General features: G+C 32.8%; 1 protein-coding gene across 2 annotated transcripts in view; it reads right to left on the reverse strand.

Annotated features, from left to right (window-relative positions):
- The window catches only part of SEMA3E (semaphorin 3E), a 285,902-nt gene that overhangs the window by 18,832 nt on the left and 239,464 nt on the right, over positions 1–27,606 (reverse strand). For both annotated transcript variants that reach the window (NM_012431.3, NM_001178129.2), the window contains exons 6-16: positions 26,299–26,418; positions 25,028–25,170; positions 23,876–23,990; positions 23,381–23,450; positions 20,563–20,707; positions 17,959–18,181; positions 14,569–14,660; positions 12,228–12,269; positions 10,486–10,652; positions 4,914–4,981; positions 3,225–3,364 (exon numbers count right to left, since the gene is read on the reverse strand). In NM_012431.3, the coding sequence (NP_036563.1) occupies positions 3,225–3,364; positions 4,914–4,981; positions 10,486–10,652; positions 12,228–12,269; positions 14,569–14,660; positions 17,959–18,181; positions 20,563–20,707; positions 23,381–23,450; positions 23,876–23,990; positions 25,028–25,170; positions 26,299–26,418 (1,325 nt within the window). The remainder of the gene's footprint in view (positions 1–3,224; positions 3,365–4,913; positions 4,982–10,485; positions 10,653–12,227; positions 12,270–14,568; positions 14,661–17,958; positions 18,182–20,562; positions 20,708–23,380; positions 23,451–23,875; positions 23,991–25,027; positions 25,171–26,298; positions 26,419–27,606) is intronic.

Genomic DNA, 27,606 nt, shown 5'->3' on the forward strand with positions numbered 1-27,606 from the left:
TGAATCCCAGAACTTCTGCTATAAGCAGTTTTCCATTTGTGTTATGTCCCAAAGCATCTGAAGCTGTATTTAGAATTTTGATTTCAGAAGATTTTGTGTTTTAGTAGAAATTACATAGACACCTGGATTTGAACCTACTTTACTGGCTGCAAGTAACCAGGGGAGTTATTAAATATCCTGTGCCTCAGTTACCTCATCTATAAAACAATTCTTTATAATAAAATGGTATATTCCATAAAATACACATAGAACAGTCCTTGGTACTGTAGCACTGAATGTGAAACAGCACAGCTTTCGAGTTAGGAATACCTGAGTTCAAACGTCAGGTCTGTCCCTAACTTTGTGTATGAGCTATAACTCTCTGAGTTTTAGCTTCTGCATGTGTAAGATGAAGAAAATTATGTCTAACATGCAGTTGTGAGATCTAGGAATAACCTGGTACCTACTCAGTTCCTGTTTGCAATAGGTACATATAAATAATAGCCTCAGTTATCAATTCTGTTTATGAGTCTCTTTTCTCTCAGGATATCATAATAATTGATGCTATACATAGTATCTTATATATTTAATTTACATTTATAATTCTTAATAACTTATTATTACTTAATTATAATTAATAAGGTCTACAAGTCAAGGGAAAATGCTCCACATGAAGTATCTAGCAAAGTTGGCTTTCAATAAATACTTATAAATAAAATATATAGAGATTATGTTCCATTTGCTTTGTTTAAGAAAGCAGGAGTCTATAAACTGCATATTTGAGAGAACCACTATAATCTAGAGTTTAGAAAGTAGACAATTGAGTTTCTAAGTGCTTTCTAACAATTCAGGTATGTTTCTAAAGATTAATTCAGTTTCTAAAGATTAATTTGGGCAAAAACTTTATCCACATGAATATGTTGCTTCTGGATAACTCCAGAGGGCTGAGTTTGAATCTGAACAGGCAGACATTACAGAATCAAAAATTTCAGTTAAATAAAAGGAAGATGTATATACTCTGTGGTCTGATAAATTAATGACTTCTCTTTGTTTGTAGCATCAGAGATGAACCCTGATGAGCATCGTCAGGGGTACTCTATAAAGCACTTACCCAGGAGGTAAGAATTAACTAGGTGAAAATAAATATCCTTCAAAATGGTCTAGATTTGATAAGAAAGTGATTTCTTATCAAAATAAAGATTTGATAAGAAAGTGATTTCTTATCAAAATAAAGATTTGATAAGAAAGTGATTTCTTATCAAAATAAAGATTTGATAAGAAAGTAATTATGTTTCACAAAAAAGAGACATATAAATGGCAATAGTGGAAAAATTGTTATTAAAGAAAATTAAGAACTCACATGCAAAGTTATTCTGCTTTGTGTATACATCATGTATATTCAGCCTTTAATAAAGTCAGAATTTTGTGTTTTGTTTTATATTGTGAATAAATCAATCCGTATATAGCTAGGTCCTTAAAAGCCAAGTATTATTATTAGCTGATTATGACATAACTTTTGATGCAAAGAGTAAATTCAAAGTCCAAATATCAGCAAATACATTAGTTGGGGAAATTTGAATGTAGTTGAAAATAGGTACTAAAAATTATAGGAATGGAGAAGTAGATTATATCAACAATATGAGAAAGAACCTTATAATTGAACATTGATGGATTCAGCATGTCAAATGATTTGGTAAAGATTTCCAAATGAGGCAGATTATGGTGAGTTCCAAATTAGAAACAGAACATACTGAGTGAGGAAAACCACTGATAAAAGAATTACTTCACTGTCTTCTGAAGCCATTCAGCTTGGAGGAACTATGGAAGATTATCAGGTCCTTTTCTGCCAAGGGAATTACAAGGAATTTAAAAAGCCATTTCACCTCAGATTTGTGAAGTGGAAAATACTTTAATACTAAATCAACAACTTAACTCAGTGCAATATGCTGTACATTTTTGGACATGTGTTTATTCTTATGACATCATGAACAGAATTTTCCTTTCCTGATTGCATTTCTATATTATTTCTAATAGCCTTTGTTAGGTTGAGGTGACTTTCTTTCTAAAACCTGTCCAAAGAATCAAGGATTTACAAATTTAATTATCTCCCAGAATGTACTGTATGATTTTGATCTAAAAACATGTTAGGTTTTAAATTTCACGATAGGCTAGGAAAAAAGGAATAAAAAGTTCAAAGTGTTCCGCATTTGGAATCAGTAATTTTGTATTCCAATGACAAATGTTTAGTCTGCAGTGCCAAAACGAGGTGAAGCCTTCCATTGATTCACTCTCTATCCAAAATGCACCTATTACCTCTTCTCTGTAATAGAGACAGGTCTCTAGAGCTTATTTTCATTATTCAACTTGCAACCTTTTCTTTACCAAGGATAATTTTTTCAATATTCATCATTTAATATTCAATATTATTTCTCCTTCTAAAATATCCATTTTTTTTTCTACTTGCTATCTTTGTAATTCCACTTTTGTGAAACTGAGTTCAAAGCCTACATCACCATGATCTGCCTTACCTAACTGCTTTATGCCCTGGACCTCTTTATGCCCTGGACTCTTTCTATAGACAGCCCTTGACTCACATTCTTTTATCCAGTAACTGCCTCCTATTCTACACATGTGCTTTAAAGCTGCCTATTCTTCCATCTCTACAAGCATCCAAGTCATTCCTCTCCCATCATTTAGATGATGAAAGAGCGGGGTCTTTCCTTTGTTCCCAGCGGTCAAGAACCCTTGTGTCAATGTCTCATATATAATTGAAAAATTTTCTTCTACAATGAGCTTAATGTTGTAGCTGTGTTGTTATTTTAATTCTGTTATTATTCATATGTCTAAGACATATGTGTTAATGATAATTAAGTTTTGCTATTTCTCTACAACACTGCCTTGGGAGTCATGATTTAAGACTATCATTTTGACAACATGACCATAAAATCATGAGTTATAAGTACCTCTTTAAAAAATTCTTACTTCCAAGATCCAAATTAATGATTTCTATGTATGTGTATAGCATATATATATTTATATAGTATATGTATATAAAATCTATATGTATATATATTTAAATTATTGTGTGTATATAAATCACACATAACAAATAAAACTGACTTATTAAATAAGGCATGCATAGTACAACAGCTAGCTTCATTTTTCAGCATCCAAATAAATCATCTATTTACTGATCACACACTATATGCAAAATACTATGTTTTGAATATGCAGCTATGAATTACCTCCTCTTTTCTTGTCTCACGTCCTTTCTGTACAAACCAGATAACTTTCGCTTGTAAAGATCGTGGGGTACATTCCAGCAAAGTACTGTTGTTCTCTATGCCATAAGCCAGATGTTCTTCAGTCTTATCCAAAGCATCCCCTACAACAGGAACATTAATGCCATCTTTGAGACTTAGATTTTATAGGTAAATAAATTTTTCAAACATTATTTAGATCCCTGCAGTAACATGATTAACTCATTACTTATTGCTTATTTCTGCAAAAGGTAATTTAAAGGAATTATTTAGAAAGAGTGGCATACCAAAATTTAGGCATGAAACAAGCAAGCAGGCTATGGGGTGGGACAGAAGTAGGTAACTGAGAGTCTGGTTCCAAAGGATGGGACAGGATAGTCAAGGCAGTAAGAAGCATCAGTGTTAAACTCATGGAAAGTCTATTGCAACCTCTATTGAGGGAAGAGAAAGGGAACACCAAAGCACAGGACAAAATTCGTGGATACAAACAAAAGCAGACACCAGAAATGCAGGCAAAATGCCACTACATAAACACAAATGTGGATTATATCTTGACAAGGGATTGCATTTATCTGGGTGTTGGGCTGCTGTAGTGAGAAGAGAATATGAGACTGAACCAGGGACTTTGTGAAATAAAGCTTGATTATAATCTGTGTCTTGGACCAGAAAGGCTCTTACTGGACTTGAACTCAAATTTGCACACAGGCAAGTACACTTAGCTGCAGTAGGGAATAAAAGGAAGCAGGATTACTCTCTCTTTATTTTAAACTAAGACAAATTCAATAACTGGACCTCTGGATTTATTTTTCCTATGCCTGAATCCTACTCACCTTCAGAACTGACCCCTAAACTTCCCTAAGATGAAGGTCCTACTTTTCTCTTGCTAGTATTCCCAGAGGCTTGAGTCCTCCACTGAATCCTGAGTCAGTCTGGGGTCCAACAAATTGATGCTGGAGCACAGTCTCTGGCTCTGCGTATAGCCACCGCTGGTTTCTCATTTATGGTGTCCCTTCTTATTATTACTTCCTAGTGAGCTCAGTGACACTAAATACAGCCTATTCAACAGTCACTACCATAATAGAAAGAGTCAGGAGTTAACAGAGAAGTTCTTTCTTATATTCCTTACTTTTGCCTAAAGATGAGATTTCCTCCATTCCTAACCCATCAGTTACCACCACCCTATCACCTTTATTGAACCACCAACCCCAGCCCTAAGCTTGGTCAACTTAGATAAAAGAGTAAAAGCTTTTTCACTTTATCTATCCCAAAGCTTAGGAGATGACTTGATAGAAGTAATACCAGTTGATAAAATCACCAGAAGGTACGTAACATGGTGAAGATAGTCCCCAGTATGAGATAAAGAGGTAAGTCATAAGAGTCACTGTGGCATCAACCACCTAAAGTATGCAGCATTCTTGTTCTAGGGTTTCTTTGTTTTAATAATTAGTTTAATAATAAAGCTTGGTGGTAGCACATAAAACTTATTTTCCTAATCAGGTAAAAATTAGTCAAATTTTCAAAATTTTAACTACATGTCAGAGAAAAAGAATACTTATTACATTGTTCTAGTATACATGAATCACAAAGAAAAAAAGGACTCTTTTTAAGAAGTTTGTAGTTTATGTTCAATGTATTCTCTGAGTAACCCAGAACAACTGATTTTCTATGGATTACCAACAAACTGTTGTCCAAAGCACTGCTGAGCTGCATTTCCATGTCGAACATCTTGTCTCCGGAAACGCCTGAAAGAAAGTAAATGCATTTAGATGTTCATTTTTTCAATTTTCCAGACTTTAAAATGCAGCCAATTGCATTTCATATACAAGTAGTATTCTGCTACTGAAAAAAATGATCATTCATATGAAAAAAGAATAAAATCCAAGTTTCATAGTTTTTCATATTTCCATTATATGTTCTTCAGTAGCTAAGATCTATGTTACCCTGTTCTTTATTTACATAATGTTGAATTCTGGAAACTCAAACAACAATGGAATGTATTTCTCTTTACTTTTTGTTAAAAATTTAGTTCAACAAGAAATCTTCTAGTTTGAGAATGTCTTGAATGGTAAGGTATTTGAGCAGATAAAGACAATGGGATTTGAAGTAAAGTATTTATTGAGTACAAAACAGTTATTTTGAGTATAAAACTCCCATATATAATAAAGTGCAAATGAAAAAGGTGTTAAAATCCAAATAGTTTGTTCTATAGCCATTATAATCAATTAGTACAAATAGAATTTCTAACAATAAGACATAAACTAATAATATACTGTAGTCAGCTTACTTTTATTCAGATATAACATTGCCTCTATTCAATGTGATAGTGTGTTTTTCATGTTTAGCAGAATTTTGTGCATCTAGTGGGACTCAAGAAATATTAGTATTTTCCCCCTCAATCTGCCTCGTATAATTAGAGTCATTTCTAGTATTGTTTTAATTTCATAGATTGTTTAGATATATAACTGAAAAAAATACAATATTCTGTATCTGCGGAAAAATTCCAGAATATATATGTTTATATATATATAACGTTATATATATGTTTATATATATATAACATTATATATATGTTTATATATATATAACATTATATATATAAAATTCCAGAATATATGTAATATACATATGTTTCGAATATATAAAATATTATATGTATATGTAATTCAAGAATATATATATTATGTATATAATATAATGTTTTGAATATATATAAAAACATTAGCCGGGCATGGTGGCTCACGCCTGTAATCCTAGCACTTTGGGAGGCCAAGACGGGTGGATCATGAGCTCAGGAGTTCGAGACCAGCCTGACCAACATGGTGAAACCCCGTGTCTACTAAAAATACAAAAATTAGTCGGGCGTGGTGGTGTGCGCCTGTAGTCCCAGCTACTCAGGAGACTGAGACAGGAGAATCGCCTGAAACCGGGAGGTGAAGGTTCCAGTGAGCCAAGATTGCACCACTGCACTCCAGCCTGGCAATGAAATGATACCCCATCTCAAAAAATAAAAAAATAAAAAAAAATATATATATATCTTTAAATATATAATATAACATTATATATAAAATGATTTAATATGTAAGCCTTTTTTCTGAGGAATTAAACAATGAGAATTATCATTAGTATTAATAGTATTGAAATTCTAAAATCAAGAACTCTGGCATACTTAATTTAGCTTAGAGATTAAAATAGAAGTATTACATAAAGGTAGAAAATACCACTTGCTTCTCTAATTCATGGCATTTCTTCAAGACTGAGGGAAAAACAGAAGGCAAAGCAGAAGTTTTACCCTAGAGGGTGATAGCATAGCTCCCAAAGTGACAATGAGATGCTTTAACCATATGCAATGATGAAATTTGGAAAAGTGAACCAGATTCAATTCCCAATACCACCACTAATGTTCTGTATGATCTTATGCATATTTCTTCCCTTTCCTGGCTCTTTGTGTCCTCCCTTGTAAAATAGAGGTGGCAAAATGACACCTAAAATCTATTTCAGTCTTTTTTTTTTTTTTCATTCTAGGGTGTCCTTACTGTCTCTAAATAACAATAATAGAATGCTATTTCAAGAGATCAAGTGCTTTCTCACACAGGAGTTCAGATCTTATTTAACATATTAATAGATATTAAAAACTAGGGCAGATCAACATCTCCAATCAATTTTTGGGATTATGACCTGTGTACAAAAGTATGTTTTAGTTTTAGTTTTTTTTTAATGTAGAGATTGCTGATTAGAAAATCTTACCTAAAAACCTGAGATTTTACAAAGTTAATATTAGATCTGCCACATGTATCATTCTACTGAACTAGATTGAAAATAGAGCTTATGAAAAAATAACAAGCAAAAGTAGAAAGTTGTATGATTCTATATTGTTTTATACTAGTATGTACAATTATTATACAACCAATAGCAGATCAAGATGAGAATTAAAATGCTGTTGTTAATCCCTCACTTTGTTGAGTATTGCTTCTATATTGAGAACCTAAGGGCTGATGAGCAATAATGAATAATGGATAGGAATAAAATCAACAAAATGAGAAATGGCTTCCACTTGGCCGAGATGGTGTTGTATAAAGATTATTATACAAGTGAGATGAGGATAAGGAAACTACAATCAAATAATTCTAGATAAGCAATGTCAAGAACTGAGTGCAAAAATATCGCTGAAAGTTATTGGAAACATACATTTAAAAAGAAAGACATCACATTCTCCAGCAAGGTTTCAGTTCATTTTATACTATCCCCGTATAGTTGTCCTTTATTTCAGTATACATATATACATACACACATATATACACGTATATATTACATGTATACATACACACACATACACGTATATATTACATGTATACATACACACATATACACGTATATATTACATGTATACATACACACATATATACACGTATATATTACATGTATACATATATACACGTATATATTACATGTATACATATATACACGTATATATTACATGTATACATATATACACGTATATATTACATGTATACATATATACACGTATATATTACATGTATACATATATACACGTATATATTACATGTATACATATATACACGTATATATTACATGTATACATATATACACGTATATATTACATGTATACATATATACACGTATATGTGTATAGTGTATACGTATACACATATATACGCGTATATGTGTATACGTATACACATATATACGCGTATATGTGTATACGTATACACATATATGCGCGTATACGTGTGCACATATATGCGCGTATACGTGTGCACATATATGCGCGTATACGTGTGCACATATATGCGCGTATACGTGTGCACATATATGCGCGTATACGTGTGCACATATATGCGCGTATACGTGTGCACATATATGCGCGTATACGTGTGCACATATATGCGCGTATATATGCGCGTATATATGCGCGTATATATGCGCGTATATATGCGCGTATATATGTGTATATTACATATTTACACTATATATATATGGAGAAGTTTCAGAAAGTTGAACAAATTTGCTTTCATTCTCAAAATTGCGTATTATTCTTATATCTCTAGTCTTTTAGACATATTTAAAGAGAACACTGGAAATAGACAAAATAGAAGAGCAAGGGGAAGAAAAAGATTCTAGCATTATAAACCATAGTGTATTTTGGAAGATCATTTTAAACAAGTGGTTTGGATTGTGAATTACTGTTTTTCCCCTGTTGACTCATTTTCACTCTTTGAGCAGAAAAGTATTTATTTTAATGACCTGTTTTCAATTTCTGCTTCTATTCAGGTCTGAAGCAAAAATGATCTGCTATAAAAGCAAACTATTTTACCTTCATGTGTTGGAACTTATCCAAAAAGTTATCTTCCAGGGGTAGTGATGGTTCAAAAGAATTTGACAGCACTGAAAGATCTCCATTACATGTCACTGAACTGAACTAATTCATTTACGAGCACGGCTTCTGATTCCAGCATTTCATGCCTTCCTGTCTACTATTTTTCTCATTCACTTGACTTTTTCTAAGTAACTCTTTTTGTCCACCACATCTACTGTATTAACAAGCTTAAGGCTGGACACTGCTAAAAGATGCACCATATAGAAAAATTAACTATGGAAACTGCTCAATTAAAATTCATTATCACTACTGCATGCCTAACACAAAACCCTGTCATTCATAAGCATTTGGTGCAAGGCTTGTAAACAGTTTTATTGTTGCTATGACAATAAAATAATTAATGCTGTTATTCGTGGTTACATTCACATTCTACCCTCATATTCTTCTATTTCACTCCTGACCCATGGTACGGCATGCTTGTTTTTAAGCATTCTATTTCTTTGTGCAGACAATTAATTCCCTTTGACTGGAATTTTCTTATATCTCTACCTTCAAGATTAAGCTCAAAAGTGAGATTATTTTGAGAATTAAATAAAGTATTATATGCATTGCTCTTAATCCAATAGCTCATTCATAGTAAGTGCTCAACAGCAAGCTACTACTATCATTATCTACAATTCCATTCTTCACTTTAGGTTCCAATTTCCTTTAGACAAGAGGTTATGCTTGTTTCTTCATATCCCTGGCACATAGTACAGTAATTGGCTTAATAGGTGAATACACTAATAATTAATATTTTCAAATAATTATGTGACTATATTCTTCAAGAATTGTTTTCAAACATCAACAAGCACGTCTGCAAAATCAATTAATTTGCTCAATTCTTTAATACATTTGGTAAATTTAGTTCAGAAATGTCCTCTCGAAGCATAATTTTACTATCCACTTATTATATCATTTTTTTAAAATACTCACTGGAGTGTTAATTTTGCTCAAGTAAAATTAACAAAAGTTTTGAATTAGTGAAGTTTTAATGAGATTCTGCTATATATTTGAACCTATAAAACAAGAACTACACTAAATTGGGTTAAATTATATTCTGAAAAATGTTTACAGAAAAGTAACCCAAAGTTAAATAATAAAAATAATTGAAATTAATACAAACTGTTTTTCAGTAAGAAAATTGTCTATACTTCTATTGTTTGCTTTATTTTGTCTTTGGTCATTTTATTGCAAGAAAGAAACTGCTTATTCTGTAAGAAATAAAAATACTTTTTTTCCTGAGGTATTTCCACAAAGAATGCACAACTTCATATGGCTTGAGTGAAGAGATATCCTTATTCTTCAAAATACTTAACTGCACCTCAAGATCTCTGCTTAAAGAATCCTGGGATTTACCTTCTGTAGGAAATGGCAATGACCTCACAGAATTGTAGGCATTGGAGTTTGGAGGTCTTTAAGTACCTTTCATTTGTGTTGAATTAAATCACACATTTCATTAATTATACAGGTCATGCATTTGCCTAGGAGTTAAAATATTCACTTTCAAAATGAAATAAATGAAGACCAGCTGGTAGAGAGGACATGGGGCAAATGCAGGATGTATTTTAGAATTTCTTTATTGATTTTCCTTTTAAGTCTTTGAATCTCTCATGTGTGGTGGCTTGTCGTTTCCACATTTTAACTTTATCTGAACTCGTTTCATGTCTTGCAGCAAAAGTTTCAAAAGAGGGAAAAACTGACTCAAACCTGGGTGAAAAAATAAAAGGTCAACAGCATGTTCAGTGCCAGTCTCTGTACACAATAATTAATACAGGTATTTTCTGGAAAACTTCAAGTTAAAAAAAAAAAAAAAAAAGCATTAGGGTTTTCCTAAGCAAGGGAAATAGTTAATCAGGTAGCACGTCTCACCTTTTTGCATGTGTGCCTGTTGGGTAATACCGGGAGCAGGATATGCCATCCCAGGCACAGTAAGGGTCTCGAGCCAGGCAGCAGTCAGCACAAGCACTTCCATACATGTCACAGTGATGGAATCTGACTTGAGCCACAGCAGAAGCAGATCCAATATACAGCTGTTGCTACAGAAATCAGAAAGAGGTCACTAGCAGAAATGGACAAAACTTTCACTGAGCTATTACACCTAGTTTTCACATTTATACACAATCACCTCAGAAAAAATTCACTTAAATTTAATTCACTTAAATTAGCAGTTTCAGGAGTTTGAGACCAGCCTGCACAACATGGCAAAACCCCATCTCTACTAAAAATACAAAAAATTAGCCAGGCATGGTGGCGGATGCCTGTAATCTCAGCTACTCTGGAGGTTAAGGCAGGAGAATTGCTTGAACCTAGGATGTGGAGGTGGAACCTGGGCGACAAGAGAGAAACTCCATCTCAAAAAAAAAAAAAAAAAATTATAGCAGTTGTTCAATATAGATAATATTTATACTTTCATTTCTCTAATATTTGAGAAACATTCATAGACATAAATGCAGGAGTACCAAAATTGCTACACTGAACTTGACAAGAACTCAAGAAGCTGTGTTCATTATCTTGCATTACCCAACACTGTGGATCTTCCTTTAAAGATCTATAGAAACGGCTGGGTTTATGCCTGTAGTGGCTTATGCCTGTAATCCCAGCACTTTGGGAGGCTAAGGCAGGTAAATTGCTTGAGCCCAGGAGTTTGAGACCAGCCTGGGCAACATGGCGAAACCCTGTCTCTACAAAAAATACAAAAATTAGCTGGTAATATGTGCCTGTGGTCTCAGCTACTCACGAGGCTGACACAGAAGGATGACCTGACCCTGGGGAGGTTGAGTCTGCAGTGAGCTGTAATTGCACCACTGAACTCCAGCCTGGGTGACACAGTGAGACTTTATCTCAAAAACAGAAAACAAATCTATAGCAAAAACTAATAAGAGATTTGGAAAGCAAATAGTCTTTTAAATATTGACATATAACATTTAGAAGAGTGATGTGTATATCTATCTATCTATCTACAGAACAAGTGGCTGAACATTTAATATAATATCTTTCCTTTTGCCTGAACATGAAGGATTATTTATAAATAAATTTGGGGCAATATATGCAACAACTGTTTCTAAAGAAGTTTACACCAAACTGATTTCAGTGAAGTGGAAAGGAGGTGTGTTTCCTTGCACACTATTGGATTATCATTGTTCTTGCACACTATTGGATTATCATTGTTACCATTGTTTTTGAAAAACATTAGTGAAAAATAACCAGGGAATAAAGTGTTATCATGATTGTAGAAGTAAAACTACTCTCATCTTCCTTTCTATAGAGATAGAAAATGAAAACAAGTATCAAATGTAAATCATGATAAACTTTTGTCAGAATCAATCAATGGACATAAAGTTTCAGTCAAACAAGATTAATAAGGTTTAGAGGTCTGCAGTATAACACTGTACCTATAACCATTAAAAATGTATTGTATGCTTAATATTTTGTTAACAGGGTAGATCACATGTTAAAAGTTCTTACTACAATAAAATAAAGTAATAAAAGAAAAATAAAACTGTAATAAGTTCATATTTAAGCACATGTACTAATGTTCTCATATCCTTTGACCTTACCTTAGCTCACATATAGAACACACACACCTACACACACACACACACAGAACTTACCCGCTTTGAAGAAATCTCCATAGAAATAATAGGAACTGGATCCTGAAATTTTAAAAAAGTTTTCATTTTTAAGAAAACAGTATAAAAACATTTACCTTAATATGGTTGTAAACCCCTGAAATTACATTACTTATATAAGTGGTTATGTGTTAAGTACTGTATAGCTTTCATTTTAGTAAACCAATATGCAAACACAATTAAAATGCAGCTTTAAAAACTTGTTTCTAACAGGGTGGGCAGATATGCAGATGAGAAGAGCAGCAGGAAATCTAACCAGCTTACTGTTTGGAATATGATTTTTGAATTTGTATTTGAATATTACTTGCGCTTTGGAAACTCAAGTATCTTTAAATAAAATAATAAAGTCAGAATGTTCTATTAAAGTAATTGAGTCATTAAAATGAAACCATTGTGTCTTTCAATAGGTGTTATTGCTAATAAACCAGGTGATTTTAATCATTTGAACCCAAACCTAAACAAAATATTTTTCTGTTGGAGTGATCATGGTGAATCATAATTAACCCAGGATTCTTTGAATGAGATGAATAACCTGATTTTCTTAGAACTGCACCAGAGGAAGGACAATTTATACCATAGCTTTGGGAACCAACATGTTGTTTTTGGATTGTTAAGGCTAGTGCATCCCTAAGGAGCACAATAAACTCAGATCAGCTGTGCAAGTGGAAAACCACAAGACAGGTGAAATCCACTCTGGGGATGATTATCCTTTGAAAAGCTGTTTGTTAAGAGGGAACATTTGATCCTCTATGTCAGTGTTTTTTTATTTTTTATTTTTACTTTAAACTACAGAATCTTTATGCCTTCATACATTCACTCAGGCAACAATGTTTCTTAAGAGTTTTCATGGACAAAACACTGTGGTGAGTGAATATTAAACATATTTCAGTTTATAACATGAAATGAAATCTTATGTAGAGTCCCAGAGTGCAAAATAAAAAAAAGCATAGCTGCTCCGGTTGATATAGGATAGTGGTTAGCTTTGAGTGTGGCTCTAGGGAATCTGTGTTCTAGTACAGCAAAGGCAAAATGTACTGCTTCTCATTTATAAAGTCTTTTCACATCTACCCATCATAAACATATAGAGCCAATCTTTGTTATTCACAGATTCTGTATTTGCAAATTAGCCTACTTGCTAAAATTAGTTGCAACCCCAATATCAAGATGTTCTGTGTTTTTAACTCATGGGCACATGCATGCTCAGAGTAGCAAAAAACTTGAGTCACAGGACATGCACATTCCCAGCTGAGATGAAACAAGGTGTCACTCTGCCTTCTTGTTTCAGCTTTCATAGTGTAAATAAATATCTTTTTCATGGACTATGTAGTGCCAAGATTTTCACATGTCTGTGCTTTTTGTTGATGTTTTGTTTTTAAAATGGCCCCCAAGCATAGCGCTGAAGTGCTGTTTAATGTTCCTAAATTCAAAAAAGCTGTGCTGTGCCTTAACGTTGAAAACTCTTAGATAAGCTTCATTCAGGCATGGATTATCGTGCTGTCAGCTGTGAGTTCGATGTTAGTTCATCAGCAATATATATTAAATAAGGTGTCTTTAAACACAAACACACATAAAAGAAGGTTACGTATTGATCTGTTGATAATTACGTTATAAATAGAAATTTGCTGGAACATAACCCTGTATTTCCCATGGGAGCAGTGGTCAGTATTCACTAGTTCAGTGTTACAACAACTTTGAAGACCAAAACTGCTGCAAATGATACGACTTGATGTGTGTGTGTGTGTGTGTGTGTGTGTGTATAAGTGCATATGTGCATTTATATATATGCACACATATATATGTGTATACACACATATATGTATACACACGTGCACCTATGTATGTTAAGTGTATCTGCATATGTAATTGTTTTTTCATGTCTTTTTTATTATCATCTTCTATTGTTTTTCTTTTTTAGTAAATTATTTGTATAATTAATGCACTTAATAAAAAGCAGTATGCTTATCTTGCCTCAATGTTCACAATATGAAAATGTATTTTTTTTTGTCAGTATTGATAGTACATTTACAAGATGTGACTGTAATACTGGCTCTGAAAATTATATGTAGTATAAATGTTATTTCTTTATAGTCACAGTTTATTCACTGAAATTCTTTCCATGCTGGGTAAATATTGATCTCTCAGTTGAAACGTCTGTAACAATCAAACAGATGCATTAGAATTTGAAATAATTCTTCACTTATATTAGCTCTGAATCCACAACATACCTGTTAGGGAAAAAAAAATGGACATAGTATCTTTCCTATTTACATCTCACTTGTAGTTGTAATGCATAAATTTGGTCTGTATTTTTTGCTTTAAATACCTTGAATATCTGAAGTTCTTCTAGAATTACTTCTTCCATTGATTCCATTTCTTGGTTGTAAATTGTGATTACTTTCAGCACAATTCCATTATCTGTAAGAAAACAAAACAAGAAATAAACTAGAATCTATGTCACAGTACGGTTTTCAAAAAAACCATGTAGCTGGCTGGGTGCAGTAGCTCATGCCTGTAATCACTTTGGGAGGCCAAGATGGGTGTATCTCTTGAGGTCAGGAGTTCAAGACTAGCCTGGCCAAGAAGGCAAAACCCTGTCTCTACTAAAAATACAAAAAAAATTAGCCAGGCATGGTGGTGGGCACCTGTAATCCCAGCTACTTGGGAGGCTGAGGAAGGAGAATTGCTTGAACCTGGGAAGCAGAGGTTGCAGTGGGCAAGATCATGACACTGCACTACAGCCTGGGGGACAGAGAAGCCTTCATCTAAGAAAAAAAAAAAAAAGTAGCGACTATAAATTCAAATAAAATTTGAAATCCAGAGGCATGAAACATGTTAATCACTGTCAGTTTAAAATAATATGATTACTTATAAACTCATATTTTTAATTAGCAAAATTAATTTTATATGCCTGGCCAAAAATGAGAGGAAATAATGATTTTTTCAAATAGTTTGATCCAAAAATCCAATCATAGATTCAAAAATCAAAATGTCTTTTGGAATTAATAAAACATAAGAGAGATGCCAAATTATTCTAGCTACTTTTTCTGTGATGCATGACGCAAGAAAATTTTTTTACCAAAAGCTACTTTTATGGTACGAAACTATACCTTTAGTCTTAGGGAATATTCCAAGCAACACACTGTGAAACTCATCATATATATAAAACATACACATACATGCAAGCACACACAGTTTTGGCAAGAAAAAAATCCAAGTATACACCATTGAGAGAAGTGTTTGTACCAGTCATTTAGTTTCCATAATTATCATTTATTTTTAAAGTTTATACTCATATTTTAAAATTCCATCTAATTTTTATCATTTCTGATATTCTGAACTTGTTCCTTCCTATAAAAATTTTAACAACACATTAATTTGCCTATACAAATAATTTAGTATAATGCTGGACATAATAATTTAGAAAAAAAAGAACACTTTGAATTTCTTCTCTAAGAGTTTCTATGCTATTTCAGCAGTTTGTTGAAATATTATCAAGTCTTATGGATGAGATAATAAAACTGGATTATAATTAAGCTAATAACAGTTACCTGTATTGTACACTACCCAAAGGAAACAAAAATTATCATCATTTTGAAAACAAAGCACACATATTAAATACTTGACAATTATATCAGGCAAAAAGCAAAGATAAGACTCAAATGATTAATTCGCAATTAGTGATTTTTTAATAAGGACCATATATGTATTGTATTAAAGCCGGTGTCTAGTAAATATTGGACAAAATATTATTTGTGGGATTTTTCAATGTTGTACCCATTTCATTCATTAAACATGTTCTTTTTTCTGAAAATCTGTGGTTCAATATGATGACACCTTTGACTTAAGCATGGTGTATATGGCAGCACAAATATATGCTTGATACTTCTGAAATTCTCTGGAATTACTTTGATCAATATGACAAGCAAGTATTTCTAAAAACATTCTTGGACTGTTATATGTGGCTTCTGCTTTCCAGGGCATTTAAAAATCACATACTAGGTTGGTGCAAATTTATTGCAGTTTTTGCCATTAAAGTAACAGAAAAAAACCGCAATTACTTTTGCACCAAACTAATACTTTAATTACTTTTATCAAATATTAGTATTGATTATGCAACTTTTAAAAATTTTGTTGGAAGTCACTATGAGTGAATTTATGGCCAAGTAATTTCAAGTTTGCTAAAGAAATCTGATGACACCGTTAATCATGAACCCACAGTGCTGAGCATATTATTAACATTAACTTCCTAAAATGAATGAATAAAATACAGCCTGTACCAGAGATCAATTTCTAAGAATAAGATAGATGTTTTCTTTTTTAAATCTTTGTTTTAAAAAACAAAAGGATGGCTGGGCATGGTGGCTTACGCCAGTAATACCAGCACTTTGGGAGGCTGAGGCAGGTGGATCACCTGAGGTCAGGAGTTCGAGACCAGCCTCACCAAAATGGAGAAACCCCTGTCTCTACTAAAAATACAAAATTAGGCGGGCATGGTGGCACATGCCTGTAATCCCAGCTACTCGGGAGGCTGAAGCAGGAGAATCGCTTGAGCCCGGGAGGCAGAGTTTGCAGTGAGCCAAGATCGTGCCATTGCACTCCAGCCTGGGCAACAGAGCAGGACCCCAGCTCAGGAAAAAACAAACAAACCAACAAAACAAAAAAAGCCACAAAAAACAAAACAAAAATAAAAACAAAGGGTTTATTGGAGAAGCCCAAGCACCAATATTAATATTAATATTACATCCTGTTTCCTGATCTGGGCTTATGCCAATATCTCTTGAGAATTATATATCTATAATTAAAGTCATGTATGTTAGAATGCTCACTTCTCTAAAGATCAACTACTGTAGCAATTATACTATGCTGAATAAGAAGAAAGACAATGAAAGAATCATTTTAAACACTTTAAAAATGACTAGGATTTTAAAACACTTCAAAGAATTTGCTACATACTACTTTGGAGGCTGAAAGATCTCAAGTCCTCTTCTACAAGTTAGATCTAATGTATGGGTTAATTGAAATTACAAATTTATTTGAAAATATCACTTGTAGCATATTTATCATACTTTGTTTTATTAATGCAGGATATTATTGGTAACATTTGGCCTGCTTGGTACAAATGGTTGATCTTGACGTGAACTCATAAGAATTGCTGTGTTTAGAGATTTAGGTGAAGGTATTGTCCCAAGTTCCAAGTTGTTCACAAAATCTCCAGGACTCGCTGAGCAAAGTCAGTAATGGAGCTGGGAAACTGACAGAACTATTCTTGCTATGACACTCTACTTCCACTATGAGAACTTCTATTGGAAACCAACTTTGTTCATTAACGTCTATTATTCATTTCTTTACTTATTCATTTATTCTTATGCATGAAGTATTGATCATGTATAAGGAATTTTGTGCTATGCAAGCCCCAAATCCTCTCTTTGTCAGCTTCAATATTTCTCACATCTGAAAAAAAACCACATATTTTGTTGGTCAAACCATGACACTTCTGACAATGAAAGTGGTAATATTCCCAGACAACTGGCCTAAACTCTTACTATTGCAGCCACATGAGGTCTCTATTTCAATCTTTCTCATTTTGGATTAGCAGTGTGAAATTGTTTAACAGATGGACAGATTTGTCGATAGGTGCTTTTAGAAATATTATTAAAATTATTGAATTTAAGGGTCAATTTAAATATCTCTGAGTACTTTCTCGTCTCTTTACCTGTCCCAATAAACAAGACGTCATATTGGCCATCCTCAGCTTCCACTCGATCTACTGCTATTTGTTTCAGGTTATATTTTCCATCTGTTTTTACCAATATTGGTTTTTTATGGGCAGGTTTTATGGCCTGGTACATTAGTGGATGACTTCTTGCAAATCGGATGGCATCATCAGGATAGTCCTTGGTGGTTCCGTATCTCCCTCCATTTACTTTGCTGGCACACTGAAAAACAAGTGGATCAGATAATTCTTTTTGCTTTACACCCAAAGAGAAAATTTATAATCAATTATGAGAAGAATCAGAAAAATTGAAGTTGTCAAATTAGTCAATTGTGCATTTAGAAATATTTAGTAATCATATATTTTTCTTTTTTTTTAACTTTTATTTTAGGTTCAGAGGTACATGTCCAGGTTTGTTATATAGGTAAACTCATGTTGTTGTACAGATTATTTTGTCACCCAGGCACTAAGCCTAGTTCCCAATAGTTCTTTTTTCTGATCCTCTCCCTCCTCCCACCCTCTGACTTCAAGCAGGCCCCTACATCTGTTATTCCCCTCTTTATGTCCATGTGAGTAACCATATATTTTTTGTTACAGAAATAGAATCTTCCTCAGAAATTGGAAAGGCTAAATTATTTCAAACATGCAGCACAAGATATACAGAGAAACTGGATAAATTCTGGAAAAGTGAAGTATAGTTACTATCAAGACTTTAGGGATGGTAAAAATGTTTAACATCATACATATTCAAATTATTTTCTCTGTTTTTGAAATTTGTTTTTTGTAATATAAGTTAAATTTTGAAGGGAAACAATCTATTGTTCACACAAAGAGAAGAAATCTCTTCGTTGTGTTGAAACTTCTAACTAAGGATCACAACTGTACAAAATAGCTTTACTACTACTGAGTCTATGATAATATGATCAGTGATGGTTCTGATTGGCTCACTGACTATAGAATTTTAGTGGTTCAACAAAAAAACCTATTCAGATGTTATCACTGTTAATTATCAATGGCAAAAAGACACTCTCTGTTTGCTGTAATCTACGTGAATTTGTATTTTTAATGGATTTGACAAAATAAACTGGGAAAACAAGAAATATGTGTTATGTCAATTTTTAAACTACTGACTAAAAAATTAAATACTCAACAGTAGCTTAAGTTACTCATTGGAAAACCTTTAAATGTGTTGATTCATGCTTGTTAGTAACTGCTCCCTCGTTTTACATATTTTCCTCCAGAACTACAACAATTGCAACGATTACCTTGATAAAAATTTTCCACTTTAGAGTATAAATACAGTAGTTTAGTAATCAGATTCCACAAAGAGGACATTTATAATGGTGTGGTTTTTAAAATCAGACCATATTTCCTAATTTGGCATGGATTTTTCACTTGAGTGTACTTTCATGATATATAATTGGAAACATTTTGGACTAGCTTGGAAGCAGTTCCATAACCAGTCGCTTCCTCCAAATCTCCTTTAAGACCATGTGGTTTCAGGAAGCATTTCCAGCAAAGCCACAGGAGTAGGGTTTCTCCATTTAAAATTGTAATTTCAATCAATAGAGTGAAATAAAATATACTTTATGTCTTACTGGAAGTAATAATTTTAAGCTAGTGAGAGAGAGTGATTGAAATGGTAAAGCTTTAACACTTGTTAATGGAAGTAAGGTTTGTTTTCACTTTGGGTTTTTGCTCTACAAAAATGGTTTCTATTTGACTTGCAAGTAATCGTGGAATCAGTGTAGTGATGGGATTTCACCAGCTGCTTGTAAAAGTATAGATGTTGACTTGTGTGACAAGTTAAATCTTTGCTCTCCATAGCTCACATAGCACATACAATGATCCAAAGTTTTTCCAACCTAGTTGCACACAGGATGAATGATACAAAATCATCATCTCATCATCACCCTCACTATCATCATCAGTTTTAGCCATGTGTGCTAAAAGCACAAAAGACTTCATGCCTAGCTAAGAAGAATCTTAATAGTATAGTTCAGAGACAAGTGGTAGAACCTTTGTACTCTAGCAATACTTTTGTATTGGCATTTCTTTCCTAAGGGGCCAGCAAGGATGTTAAATGAGGTGCTAAGTATTCTGAGGAGATAGAGAAAAAAACTTCTTATAGATTTCCTACAATGAGAAGTAAGGAGACAGTTTGGCCTAGGGAAATTAGAGGCTAATTTAAATGTTAGAACATAAAAATTTGGTGACATTGTCCTGCTTGGAAATTATATGTGGTGCTAACTCCTCTGAAGAGGCTGAGAGGAATACGATGTTCATGTTACTGAATGTTTCTGTTTTCACCAGTACTTTTAAAAATAAAATTTCAATTGGTGTTACTTAGCCAAAATATCAATAATAGTACATATTTTATAATACTGCTGTGTCCATTATATATTATATTCTTTTTATTAAATAACAAGGATAAAACTTGAGATTTGAAGGAATATTTTTTTACTACATATACTTTTCACCAAGCATACTTTTAGGTATAGTATTCCTTAATTGTTTATCTGCAAAGTCTTATGAAACAGTGAACAAAATATTACCAAAAGTATACTTAAAAATAAGAATTATTTGTTATATAACTAAACTTACAGAACCAGGCCTTGGATAAGGGACTTTTCCTTCATAGACTGACCAGTGGTATTCAGGTCCTTCCTTATGTGCATATGGTCCGTTGAAGGCTGCCCGAATGCTAGACATGTGATAGACACATATAGCATGCCCTCGAAAAATATTACTGAAAAATACAAAAAAGATAATTATTCTTCTGGAACTAACTGCAGGTCATCTAGCCAAATACCCCAGCCTACAAAGATAAGAGTCAAGTCTTTTGGGTAAAGTGGTTGCAATTTCTTTAAGCAAAGAATATTCTAGGTATGTTAATTATTGCAATATTTCCAATTTTGAAACTCTGAAACTTACCATTTTCTTAACTGCCTACTTAATACACTTGAAGATGACATTGTTACAATGACAAAAATAATGTTACTTCAGTTATTTTTAAACCTTGTGTTTTTATATTTTTTTATTAAGGATGATCTGGCCTTCATATTAACAAAGGCTTATTCCCAAGTTGAATTACTCATTTAGATATTATCTCCTTTTATGTTGTTCTATTTTCAAAGTAGACAGTGTCCTCTTACTCACTATGCTGTTAATATTGCTACAAATTCTATTAAGATGTATTAAGTTTCTTAATGTATATGACTTAAAGAAAAATTTAAAGTCTTATGAAAATTTAGGCTTTTTTCCATTTTTTAGCGGGGGTTCATGTAAACTTTAATATGCTTGTATATTCCTTCCTCCAGTCACCACAAAGTGTCTTTAAAATTACTTTAACCATATAAAACTTAGATCCCTCATCTCCAGAACTAGCGGAAAGCAAAAAAATTTTCTTGATTAAAATTTCTACTTGACAGTATAAAGGCAGTAGTTGACTAACTGTGGCAAGTTTTATTGAAGATATTTGTAATCAGATTCTACAAAAGGACATTTTTAAAGATTTTTTTAAACATTCTTGCCATATTCCTTAATTTAGCATGAACTGAATGAATTATAACATTATCAGAATCTCTGTATTGTAAGAATCCAAATAATTAATGTTTGTGAAAGTGTTTTGCAAAATTCAAAGTTCTATATAAATAAAGTTTCCTACATCCTGAGACACCTGTAAAACAGCAGTTATGTTACTGTCCTACACCCCCAATTTACACATTTTATAACACACCTTGAAGCAATTGGAAATGCCTGGGATACAGGGAACACTTGAGATAGTCTCCTAACTAAAGTGGTAGCACGCCTTTGATCACCATTCTACAAATATCAATCCTTATGTCAGGTAACAGCTGGGAAGCTTTTGTTCTCAGATTTATATAAATTGAACAGTCAAAATAGAAATTATAGAAGAAAATAATGTCTTATGCTTGATTTCTCAGAAAGATCCATTACGCTATCATTTAGGAAAATAGCTTATAATCTGATCATATTAACCCATAGAAAAACTAAACCGATTATTCCATAGCTTTAATTTATCATATAAATTCACTGAATTATCATGCAACATATGAATTATTCACAGCATAAGGGAGGAGATGAAGTTAAAACGTTAAGTACTCTCCATGCGCTGTGATAACTACCAATCTACATTAACTATTTTTCTTTGCATCAAGGAATAATTGATAGACAAATTGTTTCCATGTTTCTCTGTTGAAGAAAAGGTCTCTTTGCAACAGCAGGATTCTTGTCTAAAGAGATGTATTATTTTCTCTAAGTGAGCATTAGAAACTACCTACTGAAAAATAACAAACTAAAGCTGTGTGGAAAGACCCCACGTAAGCACAGTATACATAATTATATGACAGTTTATGGCTTATATGATGTAAAAGAGGAATTCAGTAATATTATTCTAGCCCTGTCAAGAGAATTGAGGTATATTCTTCTTTATTTTTTATCCTAATCATTTTACCTGCACTATGCCTTACCTGGAAAGATACTCAGGAAATTGTCTATATAACCTTTTAACAAATACTGATTCTAATATTTTTATTTGTGTGTCAAAATATATGAAATAATATTTTATCCATTTTTACAGCACTTTACTATGGGTTAAAAAAATACAGAAACATAAAGGGGAAAACAATAGATTATACATCTTAAACTTGAGCAGCAAATTTAAAAGATAGAGAGCAAATGATGAACGTGTTCACTATGAATCAACGTAAGAGCAGGAAAATCAGAATGAAAGAGTGAGAAGAGTGTTCTATGATTATGAAATCGAGAAATTTTTCTTGGATATGGCAATTGGTAAGTATTGGAGAACTGATTTAAATCAGTGTTGGAGGAGAAAGTTTTTTCAAGCAAGGTAAGTGAATAAATAAAAATATAGTAATGGGAACTAGCAAAGTAGACACTGATTGGCATCTGTCAAGGCATTATCTTGTCAAAATCAGACCATTAGTGAACTCACAGGGAAAATGTCCAAAGGCAAGTGAGTAACAGTTGAGATAGAACCTTGAAAGCCTGGCTTGGAAAATTCTATGTGATGAATAAAGGAATTATCCTAGACTTTACAACATATAATAACACATTGTAAGGACTGATATCTTACAAACTGTATGTGAAAAAAAAATCACTGTGTTCTAGATTACAGAGTGAAGATATCAGGATACTGAGCACAGGAGGATTCTGGGTACTATAAACAGAAACAAGATTTGGATTTAGATTGAGCTTCTGAAAATGAAAGTACATTTGCAAACGTTGGAAAATAAAGATCAATTGGTGATTATAAAGTGTAGAAAATGAGAAGAGCAACTGGGTCAATAGTCTTTCAACTTATATACACCATGAAGGGAGAGTCCGGTGAGGCATCTCTTGTTCTATATTGTTTTTATTGACTGTATAAATTTCTCACCTGGTAGTGTTAAAGAGTCCAAATATCACTGGATTCTTATGATCTCTGGTAGGTAGCAAAAAAACGTCCTCTGAAAAATTAAAGGCCATTCCATCGCTTAGTATTTTTAGCTCTCTTTGCATGCAAAGAAAATTTATTCACCTAAATTTGTTTAGAACTCATTATAGATTTTGAGATGTGTATTTTCATATACAATCATACAACCATGACCAAGTCATAACAGAGCTAATCATTCAGCTATTCTGGGTGGCCTTGAGCTGAACAATAGGAAGGAACCAGACACTGACTCTAAGCTAACAAGATGAGCCTCTTTTTGTTCTTGCAATCCCTTTTCCCCCAGCATGCGTGCCTGGCCAAAATGAAAAGAACAGAAACTTGCTCTATGTTAGATAGAGGTCAAATACACAGAAAGCAAGTTTCTATGTGTCCTAGGGATAAAGTTATAAAGAAGCATATACATAAAAGAGCAAATTTAATTCACCTAAAAACATTTACCTAATTCATCAAAATATGTGTCAATTCCATTCATTCCTGGTACTGAGCAAACGAGTCTCGCTTTTAGGAAAGTGCTCCACTTATTCACCAGTATTCTCTGCCCTCCTACATCATTCTGTGAAAACCAAAAAGGAGGTAAATAGTTACCTAAAGAATTTCGACCAACCACAGATTTCATATTATTAAACATGCAGTTGCCAAGAGTTATGACTTTTTTATTTAACTAGGAAAATTTGGCATAATTCTCAAGTAATGTCATAGGTGCAACTCCCCATAATTTGGATTTTTATTTTTTTTTAGGTTTCTTCATTCGGCCTTGTCAGTGCACTTTCACCCTGATACAGTAAATATATTTTGCAGATATTAAACAATATTAATACTGCAAACTCTCCTAAATAGAATAGTGGAGAGATACAGTAATCATGATTATTACTTTGTTCATAAATAATTTGCCTCTCTCAGGAATATAGAAACACCCATTTCTTTTCTTCCTTTAACAAAGGAAGAAAGCTTTTCAAGAAAGTTTGAAATACACACACAACACCCATACTATATATGTATATAAATATATACATACACCACACACACAATATATATATGCACACATATTTATATGTAAATTTATTTTCGAACATCTTCTTAAATGGCAAGGTAACTTTACATTTGTAATTTTATTTGATTCTCTCAATATATGTTGCTACTCCTATTGGTTTTAAATGTTCCCAAACAACCTCTCTAAATATTCAGTAAGTTACAGATGGCTTTTTTAAAAATAATTTTAACCAACCGAATTGTTCAAACATAGCTATGTATATTATTTGTACTGTGTACTAAAGGAATAAAAAAGGTTTTGATCAAATTCATTAAGAAAAATAAAGTTCAAATTTCTGCATGGGAAGAAGGACAGTCTAATCATAGACGATTTCTTCTTGGTATAGCTTCAAAAATGGGGAAAATCATGCAAAATACAAGGTCCTTTTAAGATACACCTTTCACTAGATATGAAATGTAGAGGTTGGTATAGTAAATATCAATTGTAGGCAGTCTAAAGAATACTAGAAAATATTTAAAAGTAGAAACTTACTATAAACTTAATAAAGGCCTGACCATAAATTGTGAGATAAGCAAGCATAATGAGAGAGAAAGCCTCACCACACAGAGTCGCCCGACCCTGGTGTAAATTGCGTGAGCATTGTTTTCTGCCTCCAGTGCCTTCTCAGTAAAAAAGAAATATACTTTGTTGTCATCTCTGTCTTCATTGTCAGGAATCATGTATGAACCTACAAATTTTGGTTCTATAGGAGCAAAAAATAGGAGAAAAAGTGAAATAGATATTACAACTAAATGCTAACAAGTTATTCCAATAAATTGTATATCATCTGAATCCTTAAGTTTAACTTTCACCATTTCATAAAGAAATATTTTTCTTGAATTTTTTTACCAAACATTAAAAACTATGTTGATATCTCCACTTTATTTGCATATTAACAGCCCTTTTAGAAATATTACAAGAATATTTAATTGGAAAATAAAAGAATCCAGGAGAGAAGAAGAATTTCAAACAACATGCAATGCGAACTTAAAATGCATTCAGGAAAGAGCAGATTGGGAGCACAATGAAGACAAATCTCTACAAATTTCCTCCCATTGTAGGTAAAAACTAAATGTAAGTATAAGTAACATATTAAAGTAAATAAATCTATCATAATTTATTTTTAATTCATAAATGATCTACCAGTATAGCGCATAGATCATTTTAGTTTCAAAGTAGAAAATTTATTTTACGTTTTTGGGATTGTAGTCCAAGAGATTTGAATAAATGTTCTTTGATATGGTATGTAAAATATATGAATGGTATCATCAATGACTATGCATTTTAAAGCTTAATAAAAATGTGGAAAGTAATTAAAATGCTCACCATAAAACAATATTCTAGCACCTCCATATACCAGTGTGCCAAAATATAAAACTTACTTCTTACAAAGAACTCTGTATCAATGAATGTCTAGTGACTTTCCTAGAGTTTTGTCTCTAAAGTCTAATGCAATCCTATTAAAACAAGCAAAGCAGGGCAATCAATTCATCAAAGATTATATCAATTGATAAAAGTAGACAAAACAGCTTATTGGATGATGGACTTTTCACTTTTCATACATTTGTTTTGTTTTCCTTATTCAAATACTGATTTCTAAGCATTGCTCGGAAGGTATACTGATTTTATAATTAAGCCAATCAATTTTGATAGAAAATGATGTACATATATTATATACAATATTTTAATTCAAGAATGTTGCTAGTAAAACATTCTGAAATTTGTAAAGGAATTGTATTTATATTCTTATTATTATCAAAATGGCAACATTTTCCGTAAGTTTTAGAGTTGATTTCAATCCTAATTCACATACTCTTTTCCTCATCCTTACCTTTCAACAGACGCTCATCGTCATGCTCAGTGCGGATATGGGCCAGTCGCCCCATGCTGCGGAAGATCGCAGCGTCTCTGCTCCAGTAGTCACTGTAGAGTCCAGCAAACAATTCACTACCTACACGGGAGCATCAGTAAAAAAGAAGTCAGTATTTGTTAATATGTTAACAAATTAAACACATCCAAATTTAATATGTGTATCTATAATATGTACTTTATGACATTAATACTATTGCTGTTAGGAGCATGGATGGTATAGTAAGACTCCCAGGGTTTGAGTCCAGAGTCTGTCACTTACTAGGTGTGAACTTGGGCAAGTTGCTAAGTTCCCTGTGCCTCAGTTTCCTCATTTAGAAATTAGAAAAGTAATTGCATTCAGTAAGATAGTTAAGAGCAAAGCACTTGGAAGATCAGCTGGTAAATAGTAAGACCTATATGAGTTTTTGGTAAATACCTTGGCTTCATTTATTTTCCTAGACTTCTTTTAACCTCCCTATCATCAGGGCTTTATCATTATGATTGTTATTGTGATGATTACAGGTTTTATATGTCAGTCAGCTAATTCAAATCCTTCTTGTAACAAGATACTGCTATCATGAATATGATTTTAGTGTGGGAACAACAAAGTCTAACAAAGATGATATAATCCAATCAGTTGTCATTCAATTTGTAAATTTGTGGCTCAGTCAGATAGGAAGGATATAAAAAGCGCTCAAAATTTAATCAGACAGTCAACAAAATGATTGAAGGAAGTTAGTTGCAACATGTGGTGGCAGTCACAGTCTTAAAATCAGACTGAGAAATTACATAATGTATTCAGGGTCTCAGGAAATAACCATGTGTCTTTTGAGTAAGAAAAAAGACATTAAAATAACTTAAGGGAGAGTATAACTTGAACTCCAGGAAGATCAATAGCTCTGAAGCATAGGGACTTAGAATCCTTTCCCAAAACTCACAAGAGGTAATCAGTGTGCCCATCAGTTTTACCAGAAGGATGTCCTGGCCATACCCGGCTCAGTTGTCCTGTCTGGAGCAAAAATCTCTGGCCAAGAAACAAATGATAACAGCAGATTGCTGGAAACAGCAACCTCAAAGCAAAGTGGTAAAATTGTTTTCTTAATGAGTGGCATATAACATTGGTCTAGTTCTAAAACAGATATGATTATTATATTACATAGTACTAATGCTTTTTTGTTAAGTTTGCAATGTGTATGCATACACATATTTAAAATGCTTTAAAGGTTAAGAGATTTCAAAATTAATTGTATTTCCAACTTAATATATCTAATTATGTAATTAATTTTAT

The sequence above is a fragment of the Homo sapiens genome, chromosome 7, assembly GCF_000001405.40.
Source record: "Homo sapiens chromosome 7, GRCh38.p14 Primary Assembly".
Taxonomy (NCBI): Eukaryota; Metazoa; Chordata; class Mammalia; order Primates; family Hominidae; genus Homo; species Homo sapiens.